Source organism: Homo sapiens, chromosome 2, assembly GCF_000001405.40.
Source record: "Homo sapiens chromosome 2, GRCh38.p14 Primary Assembly".
Classification (NCBI taxonomy): domain Eukaryota; kingdom Metazoa; phylum Chordata; class Mammalia; order Primates; family Hominidae; genus Homo; species Homo sapiens.
Genome location: NC_000002.12, coordinates 12997175 through 13011886, shown reverse-complemented (window position 1 = coordinate 13011886; position 14712 = coordinate 12997175). Strand labels below are relative to the sequence as shown.

Genomic DNA, 14712 nt, shown 5'->3' with positions numbered 1-14712 from the left:
ATGGAGGTACAGGAGATAGAGAGTAGAAAAGTGGTTAGCAGAGGCTAGGAAGTGTGTGTTGCAGGGAGTGGGGATGAACAGAGGTGGGGTAATGGGTGCAAACATACTATTAGATAAAAGAAAAAAGTTAGAACTTAAACATCAGAATGTTTAATAGCACTGTAGGATGAGTACAGTTAACATCAATCTGTTGTATATTTCAAAATGCTAGAAGAGAGAATCTAAAATGTACAAACACATAGAAATGATAAATGCTAGAAATGATGGATATCCTAAATAACCTGACTTAATCATTACGCGTTGTATGCATTTAACAACCTATCACATGTACATTACAAATATGTACAAACATTACATATCTTTTTTATTTTTTTAAGAAACCAAGTCTAAGCAGGTGCAGGGCAAGAAGGATCCTATTCCAGGCAGATGGGAAAGAGACTGCAAACCTCTGGGGAAATCCAGAGCAAAGAGACCAGGAAGGTCACACAGACCTAGGCTTTATAGAAAGTATCTCTAACTAGGTAGAAGAAAAATGAAATAGGGCTGTACAACCAACATCCAAACAGGCCCCAAATACCAGTGAGGATTGTAGGTTGGTCACCACCTTTTGGCTTGATGACCGCTTGACAGACAATAGGGGTCTTCGCTACAAGCTTTCCCCTCAGCAACCTAAGGCTAGCATCTGAAAAGTGCTATGCACCTTGCCAACGTTCAATGAACATCCAACCACACTGCGAGTGTCTTTAAATAGAAACAACTTTTATCCAGAAGGGGAGATGTTAAACAAAACAAAACAAAACAAAAAACCCTACAACTTCATCACTGAGAACAAGTAATAAAAGTGTTAAGGTCTCTGCTGATAAAGGATAGCAGTAAGGCAGATGACTTAAAAATGCCCTCTGGTTTAGCAATTGTTCACATACCTTTTTTCTCCCAGAGGAGTCACCCTCCTTGATTTCCTTAGTTATAAGAAATAAGAAAATAGGTGCACAATTCTCGAGGAAACATTGGTGTTCTGATCTACTGAATAAAGTTATTGCAGCAACAATATCAATGGGAATGGGGGAAGAAAGCCTCAGTCTGTTGTCTTTCTGGAGGTGTGTGTGTGAGTATGTGTGTTGTGTGTGCGCACTTGTGTGTGTGTGATTGAAACACAACATTGAGTGCCTACCTTGGATCAGGCCCCTGCCAGACGTATTACATATATTATTTCAAATCCTCTTCAAAATCCTGTGAGATCATCATCATTATCCCTTCTTTATAGATCAGAAAATACATTCAAAGGGGTTAAGAACGTTTCATCAAGTCCTGTTCAAATCTGATAGCCAGTTGCACAGTGAACACCAGATCCACCTGGGGCTACAGTGTGGGCTCCTTCCACCACATCACAGCAAGGCTGGGCAACAGCTTGGGGTCTACAGTGCTGAACTCTGTGGTTGTCTGAGGAACGAAGTCAGGGCAGGCCGAGGTTCCAGCAGGCAGTGGAACCGGTGAGAATGCTCTTGTGCTGAAGAGCCACCTTTTCAGTTCCACGTTCCCCTCTGTCCTCCACAAAAAAGCCAAAAATCCATCATGGATCAGGGTAACACTGCATTATTTACTTGACAAAGGATTTCTGCAAAGAATTTGACCTTGAGCTCCTGCCCTTTCCCTGCTTTCATTCTATGTGGACTCCAGTGACTATCCTTTAAGGAAATTACAGTGAATCAAAGCCAGATCGACGTTAACGTAACTGAGGACCTAAGCAATCTAAGAAAAGATTCTCTATGAGATCCATTTGGCAAAATTAACATTTATTGGGTAATGGTACAAAAATATTTTGATTCACAATACGTAATTTGATTCACAATACGTAATATGTTACGTAAACATATTGGTACATAGTAATCATATATATATAGAGAGAGAATCATATATATATAGAAATCATATATATACACACACACACACACATATATATATACACACACATATGTATATTTTTAGTTGAAACACTATCTGACCAACCAGTTAGCTTAGTTTGGACACTTAGGTCATTAAATGATATCAGAAAATGAATATATATATATATATATATATATATATATATACACACACACACACATACACATGAATATATATATATATACATATTTCTATCCCTTTGGTCTACTGATGTGATTGCTTCAGAACTGAATAAGTGTCCTCTGTAGGATTACTTTTCAAATAATTCCTTTAATTAATCCATTAACTTCACTTGCCACCTGGTCAGAATTCAGCTCCTCCAACTCTGAGGGTGTTCTGTCCAGAACTATAGCAGGAGAGAAGAATTTCAGTCTATCACATACACATTAATTCATTTTAAACACTTTGCATTTGATCCTTCAGGATATGCAAGACTACATTAGTCAACCCAAGTAATATAAAGTAGAGACGTGCTAGTCTTTTCTTAGCCTTGAGAATACGCATTCTACGTTGCTATAGAATGGAGAACACATTCCTATTCTAATTTATTTCTATTCTCATCTTTGAAAGATATGTTAATTCCTTGTAGTTCTCAGGGGTGATATAATCCAAAACAGAATTAACTGAATATCCTATTTGAAAAAGTGCTATTGCTAAATGGCAACCATGCAGTTCTATTGTGTGAGTCATAAGAAATCAGCTTGCATGGGCATGCCGGCTTGGGAGCATCAGCCTGCTTCATCCATGCTCTGATTTGAGAGGTGGAAGTGCTGGTGCTTTCTTCCTGTAGCTCTTTGAAGATCAGCTGTGGGAGTCGTGAGCAAAGTCTAGGGGCTGGAGGTTTTCCATTGTAATCCACTAGCTAACCAGACAAACCAATGCACATCCCTGGGCCTTCAAATGTTGTAAGACCTGGCCTTGCCTGTAAGAGGACAGCCAGTGGCCCACCTCTTGAACTTCCCTACCTCCCGCTGGTCCAATATAGATGCTGACTTTTGAACTGTGGAAGGAACGAACTGTGTATAGAGAGATGTTTACAGATGCCCAATTGTCAGATCATCTTTATTTGCAGGGCAGTCACGTATATTGGGCAGAGTTTGGGCTTTGGAATCACCCAGATAGACAGACACTAGAATCCCAATGGTTAGTACCTTGTTCAGGGACCTCAGGCCACTCAGCCTCTCTGAACCATCATTTACTCATCTGTGGGGATGACTGTCAGCTGTTTGATGAGGATTTTAAGAAGGCAATTCCAGTGTGCTTTCCCAAATTGCTAGATCATAAAATTCACCTGCAAAGTCTGTCCTCATTCAAGAGATCTAGAATGTTCCCCAGAAAATTTTATTTTTTGAAAGCAAGTTTGGGAAACATAGATAACTTGTTAATATGAAACATTAAATACATTTTTAAAATGTGTATCCTTTTTCACAGAACATTTAAAAATTATTAACGTTCAAAGATTAACAAAATCTAAAATGACAAAGATTTTTTGATCCAGTCATCCGTGAAGGCTTTTTAAAATCTGTGAATGGAACCATTGTTCTTAATTCTCATGTGTCCATTCTAATATCCGAGCAAATCTCATTCTGCTGAAAATCTTCCTTGCCTGTTTTTAAGATGATGAACAGACTTCATACAATCCTACTCAGTACAAGCACTGCATTTTTATTTACCTAAGTAATTTCTTTGATTCTTCTAAAACTAAACTCACATGAGTTATTTTTTAAAATCACAAATATGAAAAATGTTACACTTTAATTTGACTTACTCCTAACTAAGCATATATATATATAATTCTTTTGATGTCCAAATATCTCCCAAGGAGGACTGATGACATTTGAAGCATATTTGCCCACCAAAATAAATAAATAAATAAATAACGTTAAAGTATTAGTGTGAGTGTGATCAATATTCTTCCCAACTAGAGATTCCCAGAGTTTAACTAGAGTCAAATCTAAAGATCACAGATTTTTTTTGTAAAAATCTTAGCTTTTCCTTCCAATAAATTCACATGGTTTTTGCCTCATGAATTTCCAATACTTCATCCCCCATCCCAGCAGGCAGTAAAGTCCAACCTTTTCATTCAGGGTTAAGGTTGCCCTGAGCCCTCCTGAACTTTCTAGCCCTGCCTCTTGTATCCTGCACACCCAGCCAGATGTGTGGGGGACACCCTGAGCTAACTGACCTCCATGCTCTTTTATGCCAATTCCCTCCACCGTAAATGAGCTTCTTCACTTTCGATCATCAAAATGTGAAGACTTGCAAAAAGTCACTGCCAAGCCATTTCTGATTTTTCGACTATGCCCAATGCTGCTTGGTCCACAGTTAGTTAACTTTCACAGGCACGTTTCTGTAACATTCCCGCTGTACTTCCCACATGAGAAATGCTGTCCTCCGGTTTGTGTTCAACTTACTGGGTGTAAAGCCCGTCTGCATACAAGCTCCTTGCGACTGTGTGACTCCCTGTCTCCACGGCCAGCGCCTAACACTGCTTCAACCCTGAAGAGTTGTACAACTTTTTTTGGTGTGAACTAAAATCACCAATAAAAATGATATTGAAATGATTGAGCTTGTTCAACTAGTCAGAGAACAGCTGGGTCCATTTGGTTTTACATTGGCCAGAATTAGTCTCAGCTGCTGTGTGAATGATTATTTTTAAATGTAAATATACGGGATTCTGGAGCTTCATTCTGTCCTGGTTCTTATGACAGAATAGTCTCTTTATTCTGCTCCCATTCCCTGAACTACATACAGCTTTAATGCATTGATAAATCCTTTGCAGGGTGTTTTGTCTGTCGCTGGTAGCCTTGGAGTTACAGGAAAAATTCTAGGAATAATCACCAGGTGGCGCCAGAGCCACATTACAAAGCGCCTCTGAGGTCTCCTCCCAAGAACGGGGTGTGTTTGTCCTCTAGCACTAGGTGGGTTTGCTCCCTCCCTAGATCTTCCATCCAGGATAGTCCTGGAAATGATCTTGATGCTATCTGTTCCTCGTTACAGCAGACCTGCTCAACTTCAGCAGCTAGAAGGAGGATTGTCTTTCACCAGCTGCAGGAGCCTGTTCCCACTACAGTGAGATAATAATTTCGTTTTTTTCAAGCCAAGAAGTATTTATTGAAAGCCAGCTATGTGTTTTGTTTTATTATCTCTTGATTTAAAATCTAGCATTTTGCTGCTGTAAGGGAACTTAGAGTTCTTCTATCTATCATTATCTCCAGTTCTATTTAATAGGGAGAGATACTGAGGCTTAGAGAGGAAAGGTTACCTGGCTAATACTATTCACCGAGTTTGTAGCAGCAACCGTATTTAAGACCAGACTTCCCAGCTACAAACCACCTCCTTCACGCTCAGTGGTGCTCCAAGGCAGCTGGACTATAAGCATCTCGAGCACACAGATGTGGTCCCATTCTTCAAGTCTTGACATAGCAAAATGCCTTTTTAGATTCTCTAAGAGATGTGCAATTGATTGATGAGTAAACTGACTTTATTTTTTAAATTCTGATTTAAAAGGGTAAGTATTTGACTCAGAAATGCAAAGATTTTCTTTTCTTTAGGAATATTATGAATTTTTAATTCAACCCAGTATTTTCGATAAAATTTAAGAAAATGAAACTTCCAAGAATTGAATAACAATCTCTTGGAAGTCATATTTAAGTGCTCATTTGTGTCTTTAGCAAGTCATGGGTATGCGGCATATCAGAAATGTTCGTAGGAGGTTTAATTCTTACAACACTGAAATTGTTTTTAATGACATGCTAAAGCATAGTTACTGTGAAGACTCACTCATGTTTTCACAAGCTACGTAGGAAGTGCCTTTTACATGGCAGGCACTGTTCCAGCTCTGGAAGTTCAGCAGAGAACAGAAAAGATAGAGGCCCCAGAATTCACAAACTTATATGCTGATAGCAGCAGACCTACAATAAACCAAAAAAATAAATAAATAAAATAAAATACCACAGTATGCGGGAAAGTGATCGGGGCTGTGGAGGAGGAACAGAGGCAGGAAGGAGGACAGGAAGCACTTAAGGGAAAAGGCTGCACGGCCATAAAGGATATGTGCAGGAAGAAAAGGCCAGTGCAAAGAACTGGAGACAGGAATATGCCTGATGTATTGGAGAAGGGCAGGGAAGCCAGTGTTTCTGGAAGGGCGTGAGCAAGAAAGAAAATGCCAGCAGTAAAGAGAAGGCCCGAGACTATGTTAGCAGTTTTTTGTTTTGGTTTGGTTTTTGTGTTGTTGGGTTTTTTCTTGTTTGTTTTGTGTGTGTGTGTGTGTGGTTGTTGTTATTGTTTGTTTGGTTTGGTTTGGTTTTGCATAGCCAAAGAAGAGAGACACTGACTTTAGTCTCTGCAACAGGTTCAACTCTTATGAAATAATACATGGTTTTCCTTTTGCCAATGTAGAAAATACATAAAATGTCCAGGCTGCTAATTGAGCTTCAGGACTTGGTAACAGGGGAAAACTGTCATCTCAGAACAAGTAAAGATTGATTAATATCAAAATAATTTCCATCTCAGACTGGAAATTCTACCTATCTATTGGAGCTGACAAGCAAGATTGATCACCTAAACTAAGTTAATCATAACAAATGAAAATGTTGAGGCACCTATAATTAATTACTACCCAAATGAGATTCCCATCTTTGCTAGAGATAACCCCTGAATATATCAGGTCATCCATCTTTCAGTTCTTCTATTAGAGTCATAATTTCATTTTCCTGCTGGTTCCTCTCAGAACCCACCACGTGACTATGCAGGCAATGTGTGTGTTTTTCCCTTCAGTTTTTAATATAATTATATGCAACAAATATGCAACTAAAGAAAATGTTGAGTTCTAGGAAAATGAACGTCATTCTCTACTTAAAAACTGGTGAAATGGACATTCTCTATTTAAAAACTGGTGAAATGACTTTGAAATTCATGATTTCTTTTGCACTTTCTATCTTTCTGATCTTTCTCCCAAACACTGTGAATTGGATGTTTTTGTTATCATTATTATTATTCATACCTTACATGTGAGATATGGTGGTCAAAGTGTTTAAAAACTTCTCAGTCCTCTTCACCCCCATCAAACTGCAATTTGTTTTTAACTTGCTTAATGTCTGTGTCCAGCTTGGTCTCATTCACTATTTTAAACCCAGAAATAAGTTCTGTGCTAGTCATAGAATGGCAAAATAAATGTTTGTTGGATTGAACTGACTTGATCGCCATGGAAATCAATTATGGGGAGACCTGCACTAGCACCCCAGCTTTACCACCGACTTTGTGTCCCTAAGCAACTTCTCTGGTTCTGTTTCCACATGTGTATGACAGAAATTTCAACCTTGTTGTACATAACTTCATTTTCTTAAGTGCTGGCCTTCATAACAATACAGCAGAATAAGAATCATTGCTGCCATTTTTACAGATGAAATATAGAGTTGTCTGGGGCATATATTATAATAACTAGAGGTTCTGCAGTTTAAATTCCTCCACATGCCTTTGTATTTATTCACACAAGTAGAATCAAATTGCGATTTCCAATATTCTTGAACAAATTGTTGCACCTTGCTTAGAAAAAAAATCTGTACTTGAATGCTACCTCCCTGAACCCAACCCTTTCTGGACATGTTATTGATTCATTAAGGACTTGGATTACATAGACACTCAACATTTAATTGCATTGCTATCAAACATGTATCTAACAAAATAATATATAAGGTTGTTTAGGTTTCTAACTGTGTAATTATACTGTTCTATGTATGTAGAGTTTATAAAACCATTCACATGTTACAGTAGCCGTGTTCATCAAAGCTCTGGAATTGGCAGCTCCTTTCCATATATGGGAACTTGATCAAGTCCTTTTGCTGCCTTCCTCATACATTTCTTAAGAGCTTGAAATTATCAATGTTTGCAGTTTATAGCACAATAGCAATAAGAAGTAAGTGCTTATCAAATGTCAGTGTAGTTTTCAATATCATCATGTTTGTCATCAATGTATTTTTTCTTCCTAAGAGCCTGGTGGAGTCTTCGGAGCAGATGTGACTGTCCTACTTGTATAGAGAAGAGAAACTGAGGCTCAGAAGAGATGCCTGGCTGAGTTTAATAGGACTGCAACAACAATTTTGCCTTTCTACTTTCTGGTACAGTGGTCTTTCCTTTGCCATCATGCCTCAGCATATCCATGTTAGTAAATTCTCCCAGTTGGGGAAAAGCTTGGCAGCAATGAAAGTTAATGTGATGAATCATTTAGATGGACAGATTGGAAAAATGTTGTTCCTTTTGCATGTGATGTTCTTGCCAGAAATCAAGTAGGTGGAGTTTTTGAAGCGTGATCAGTTAGATAAGTATGGTGGTTTTAAATAATCAAGCATGGAGCCATACCGGTTATGTTTAATTTATAACAAAATCAGACAATTCAGGCATGATGTTGAACTCATTGAGCTTGGCTCACTACTACATTTCTCTCACCAAAAGCAATGACTATAAAGAGTTACAAATACCATGACCTTATATCATAAAGCATAAATTATTCCAGGAAGTTTTCCATTTAAGTCAACTTCTCAAAATCTTAGGAGAAAACTACCAATATTCAGTTCAAACCCCAGAGGCTTAAGGAAAAATATTAATGTTGAAATAGCAAGTAAGTGGTAGTATCCTCGCTGTATGCACAATTGCATCTGCTCGGGGGTTAGTCTTTCTTTAGCTCCTGTCTACAACTCACACCAGTCTCCATAAAAGAAATGAGGTCTCACTGATACCATCTAGCTTAATGAGATAAAAATCCTGGTGATCTCTGCAAGAAAATAAAACTAAGATAAACTAGTATCTGCTACTGATAAATATTTAACAGATGTGGTCCAAATCCCTCTGCCAGCTGGAGGAAGGAAAAAAGTTCTATTTTACTGCTTGGATATAATTATTGGCCACATTTCTCCAAGCAAAGACAGTGACATTGGCTCACTCCCCAGGAGAACTTTCTTCTGATCTTGGCACTAGGATTTGCTTTTCTTTAACAGATTGCAGCAATATACCCTTCATTTGACCCAGTTTATTCATTCAAAAGATACCTGGAGCCAAAACCATGTATGAGAAATAGCAAAGGAAGAGGCAGGCACAAGCTGTGTTTATATACCCACCAAAGGACTACAGCAAAACACATATATTCTAGTCAGCTCTGAGTGCACCTGTCTGTGTCAACAGTAGACCAGCGTGGTCTGGCAGATGACCATATGACCCAGCTGATTCACTCCGGAGTTAGAGGAACTTTTCCCAGACCCTGAAAGTCACCTTTTTAGACAACTTCGCAAACAGCCATCCTTGTTCACGGTATCATGCCCCTTGTCACTGCTAAACAGACCGTTTGCAAAGAAATTTCCTAAACATCACCACTGAGGCTCCTTCCAGCAATGACTCTGGTCCATCATTGGGATTGCTGAGCAGCTGTTTCATAACATGAACAAGGATGTTTTAACCATGTTTCTTGACCTGGCCATTTGGATCCCAAGGATGTTTTGGTCCAAGAATAAATTCCAGAGCTTAGGTAGGTTACATACCACAACTATATTCATTTCCTACTTCTATTCTTTCTCTGTGCAATCCTTTTCCTAGCACTGTAACTGAAAGTATTTTTCTAAAACATTAATGTGATCATACTATGTCTCTGCTGAAAAGCCATCAATCACTATCTACCTATTACTGACAAAAACATGACATTCTGATCCCACCTGATCTGCTCTTTCTCATCAACAACTCTTCTCCTTATGTAATTTCTCACCTGGTGACCAACCACACCCTGCATGTGCTATACATTCATTTATGCTTTTTCACCTGCTCAAGGCCCCCAGAATTATTTTCAAGTATTATTTTTCCCAACACAAAGCATCAGTCGATACCTGTAGTAAGTCTGAAGCATCTCAGAAGCATTTATTGACAACCCAGTCTTCTACTCTCCTCTGCCTCCAAACACACAGCACATACATTTTGTCCCAAACATTTGTAGGCCATCATTGTCTTTTGCCTGGCATTTCTTTACTAATTAATATATATTTTTATTCATGTGTGTATATTTATCTCACCAATATTTGGGAGCAGAGCCTATGTGTTATTTTAGTTATACAGGTTGTTGGGTGATATGGCTGTGAACCTGATATGCTATAGATTATAAGGGGAGGTGGAACCTGTCACACTTCCTCTTCCTCCATCACTGGTTGTCTGTCTCAAAGCTCACCGAAGAAGACAGGAAAACTTGTCAGATGGGGAAGGATGTGTCAAGAGCATGCACACAGATTTACTCTTCAGCTAGAAGCTCCAATTCCTAGATGATCTGAATCCAACTCAGAGTGCTTGCACCTGTTTCCTGCCACACAGCTAGAGCTGGTGAGTCTGATTTAAGTAATTCTACAGGAAGACAAGGCTTACATAAGAATAAGTAGTCGAGTAGACAGATATTTCCTCCATGGAATCTGCCTTGTTCAGAAACAAGTTTAATCAGTTACTGACTTATAGTAAGAATGTGAATGTCATAATTTTATTAAAAGTTTTTATAAATAATTTCATTGTAATTTAAGCATCGATGAAAATGTGTTGTATATGGTCATGTACTTGCTTTGTTTTCTTTTTGTTTATTCTATCGACTTTTACGAAGCACTTACACTGTGCATGAAGACACATGGGATAGAACACTATCCCTGCTATTGAGGAATCCCCTGTAACCATTTCAGTGACAGAACAGCTGAAGCTCAGTATGGTCAAGCGACTGGCCACTGGCCAGACCTGATTGTCATGAACTTCAGTTAAGGTCCTCTGATTCCCATCACAGTCTCTTTCCACTCCTTATGCTGTTTCATGGCCCATGTTCAGGGAGTGACTCTGGTCTGCCTGGATTTCTGAAATCTTATACGGATGGCTGGTGAGCTTAGAATAAAGATGCAACATGAGGAGGCGTACCTGTTTCCCATATGACTTCCAGGAGGCCAGGAGAGCAGTCTTCCCGAGTCAGGCAGGAGCACTGTGCCTAAAGCAGCTTCCCGGGGAGAGCAGTGACGTTCCCGGTCTCAGAGAATATCTGAACCCCATCGCCCCCACCAGTTTACCTTTCAAAATGCTTCTTTCCACTGGCACGCAGTGCTCAGTAAGACCTCACAGTTTCCCTGGGCTGTGGTCCAATTTGATTACCTCCTTTTTCCATGCTTGGAAGCTGCTATGCAATAATCTTTTTAACCTCTGCAAAGCCAGGACAAATGTGACAGCAAAAGCAATGTTAGTACTTGAGGACGTTTTCTCCTTTTAGATTTTGAGGATTTATTTCATGTTTATAAAGAGAGCAGAAAAACTCTGTCACTTTCTGTTGGTGTTATCCTGGTCATCTCAGAGCTCTCATTAACTCTTATCCTACCCCCAGCAGAAACTAGAGAATTCTGAGGAAAACACACTTTCACTTCATGGAAATATCTCAGCCACTCTTTCCAGCGTTGCTTTTCCTTCCATCCTAACCATCTTGTTTTGATCTTAAATATCTTCAGAATCTGACTTTTGAAATTTATTTTTATATCTCTTTCCAGCCACTTTTGATTAATCTCTCAATAGGGTAAGCAACATGATTTTCTTTTCTTTTTTTTTTTTTTTTTTAAAAGCTCCAGCTCTGGCTTCTGGCTGGAGTGCAGTGGTGAGATCTCCACTTCCCAGGTTCAAGCAATTCTCTCGCCTCAGCCTCCTGAGTAGCTGGGATTACAGGCACCTGCCGCCGTGCCTGGCTAATTTTTTTTTTTTTTTTGTATTTTTAGTAAAGACAGGGTTTTACTATGTTGGGGCCAGGTTGGCCTCCAACTCTGGATCTCGTGATCTGCCCGCCTCGGCCTCCCAAAGTGCTGCGATTAAAGGTGTGAACCACTTCACCCAGCCAATTTTAATTTTAAAAAATTCTTGTAATAGTTCTAAAACACCCTGAGTCCTGCAGTCTTCAGCCTTTGCATGAATTTCCTCACCACCATGACAGGCAGGGCCCCAAAGTTTCCCAGCTGAATTTCATCCAGTATGTTCCTTTCTAAGAGGAGAGATTAGACAGGCACAGAGGAGAATAATGAGCTGTGTCAGACTAAAAGACTTACTGAAAAGTTCTAATTATTTTTCTTCAATAGACTAAGCATTTTAGTTTGTTTTTTGACAAATGTGGCAGAGGTCACCTAGGTGTCCCACAAACATGTTTCCTCTTGTTCCAAAAGCCACTACTTGATATTTCCCAGCCTCCCTTGAAATTACATATGACCACATGTAACTTATTTAACCAATGAAAATGTAGATAAAAGTAATGTGGACAACCTGTAGGCCTGCGTTATAAAAGCTTTCTACAAACAGACCCCCTGTCTCTCTCCTTTGCCCACAGGCTGATTCATAGGACTTTATTATGCTGGGGAATGGTAGAAAACATAAATAATAGATACTTAGGTAGGTCTTTAGTTTACTATTAGAAAGCCATCACTTATTGGACTTTAGGTGGCTGAAAAATAAACTGATCATGTTAAGCTACTGAGGTTTGGGGGTTTATTTGTTTCAGCAGCATATGTTACCCTCAACTATTATACAGATAGACACCTTGGCCTTGGCTTAGTGATTGGTTTGTGGGTGGCAATTGTGTGCGTGTGTATATATATATATATCTGCAGTCTTCTGGCCAAACATATATATACACGTATATATTTATTTATATGTTTAAAGGCTGCCTCAGATATATATATATGTATGTATGTGTATAGATATGTATGTATGTATGTGTATATATATATATGTATGTATGTGTATATATATACACACACATACACACACACATATATATATATATTAGGCAAGAAGACTGGAAATATTTGTTTTTCTATGACAAACATTGGTAAGTAATTGCTTTAATTTAGACTACTTGATTTCTGTAACTCTCAGGGAAAGTAGTTGGAAAAAGTCACAGTGACTGTCAAATTCTATTGACTGTATTTGGCACAGTATTACAAAAAAAGGGGAGCTCAGGCAAGTATTGCCTGACTTTTAAGTAGATATCCAAGACAACTGGAAAAAATCCAAAGGTCCAGAGTCCTACAGCATTGAAAATGCAGGCTGCTACCAGACTCCAAATAGCAACACATAAGATTGAAAGAGATTTTTAGTGACTGGAGTCCAGTAAGTCTTTGCAGTTGAACTAAATAACTCCAATCGGGGGCAGCCTTTAATGCACACAATGGCCTTCCCAACTCTCATTTCAGATAGCATTGAGGTGGCCACCATTAAGTTTGGAAGAAGAATAGGAAGAGGTCGAAAAGCAAAGAAATGAGAATTATGTCTAAGAAAGGACTTTGTGTTTATAAGGACATAGAATTGCCTTGAAGAAAATCTGGAACAGAGGTTGACATAGTTTGAATATTTGTCCCCACCCAAATCTTAAGTTGAATTATAATCCCCAGTGCTGGAGGTGGGGCCTGGTGGGAGGCATTTGGATCATGGGAATGGATATATAACATATATATCATATATAGTACATTGAATATTTGTTCAGTAGTCATTTTAATTTGTTTTTGTTTCATTTTGACAGAGCATGGGGAACTGGTGACACTAATATTTCCAAAGAAACCAGTCTCAGCTAAATTTGGGGGAATCATGTACAAAAGGAAATTGAGAATCAACATTATGTGGGAAATAAATTTGCCATCAGTAAAAGAGAGAAATAATTATAATCAGAAATAAGCTGTTATTGGAATAACACCCATAGAACAACTTCTTATCACTGTTTTCAAGGAGTAAAGGAAGCTGCCTTTTCCTTGGTTATACAAAGTCAATGAAACACACACACATGCACACACACATGCATGCACACAAACACACACGCACATTCTGGTGACCAATATGTCCTTCTTGTTGGAAGTCTTCAGAATTTAGATCACGAATGTTGCCCACTTGTAAAAACTCTAGAGTATCATATGGCAGTGGCTTAGTACTTGGAATTTTCCATTAGAGTTAGTTACTGTCTAAGCATTATCCGAGTTGTGTGAAATAGTTTGTCTACAATTAACTCTTTAGTCATTCCTGAAATGTACACTGGTATAATATTCGTGTCATTGAAATTAGAAAGACCACTACAATGATGACAATGACTATTACAATGAATATAATGACAACTGCGATCACTTCAACTATAACTACAACTATTATTATTACAATTACTAATGCTAGTGTAATATTGATAATAATGATAAGGTCTATGTTATTAATAATGATAACAACAGTCAGGTATTGTGCTGTTCCCTGCACATCCATTAACTTATGTATTCCTCACAAAGCCTTTGTAAACAATATTATGACTTTTGTTGTAAGGAAGAATATAAACTCCATAAAAATAGATAACTTACTATTGGTGTATCTCTAGTGTCTAGATAGTAATTGATTTAAAATATTTCCTCAATGAATATTTTTTCTTTTCATTTCTTGCTGGAAAATAATAATAATAATAATTATTATTATTATTATTATTTTTGAGATGGAGTCTTGCTCTGTCGCCAGGCTGGAGTGCAGTGGCACGATCTCAGCTCACTGCAACCTCCACTTCCTGAGTTCAAGTGATTCTCCTGCCTCAATCTCCCCAGTAGCTGGGACTACAGGTGTGTGCCACCACCCCCAGCTAATTTTTGTATTTTTAGTAGAGATGGGGGGTTTCACCATGTTGGCCAGGATGGTCTCAATCTCTTGACCACGTGATCCACCCACCTCGGCCTCCCAAGGAAAACTAAATTTTCTTAATAATAAAATAAGTTG

At 38.5% G+C, this 14712-nt stretch overlaps 2 long non-coding RNA genes across 4 annotated transcripts in view; one reads left to right on the top strand and one right to left on the bottom strand.

The window, feature by feature from the left end:
• The window catches only part of LOC105373436 (uncharacterized), a 330895-nt gene extending 319797 nt beyond the window's left edge, over nucleotides 1–11098 (bottom strand). For all 3 annotated transcript variants that reach the window (XR_001739293.2, XR_001739292.2, XR_001739291.2), the window contains exon 1: nucleotides 10870–11098. This is a non-coding gene — a long non-coding RNA (uncharacterized LOC105373436). The remainder of the gene's footprint in view (nucleotides 1–10869) is intronic.
• LOC100506474 (uncharacterized) overlaps nucleotides 4874–14712 on the top strand; it is a 40232-nt gene continuing 30393 nt past the window's right edge. Inside the window, exons 1-4 of the long non-coding RNA NR_038434.1 lie at nucleotides 4874–5016; nucleotides 7936–8063; nucleotides 9279–9463; nucleotides 10146–10299. This is a non-coding gene — a long non-coding RNA (uncharacterized LOC100506474). The remainder of the gene's footprint in view (nucleotides 5017–7935; nucleotides 8064–9278; nucleotides 9464–10145; nucleotides 10300–14712) is intronic.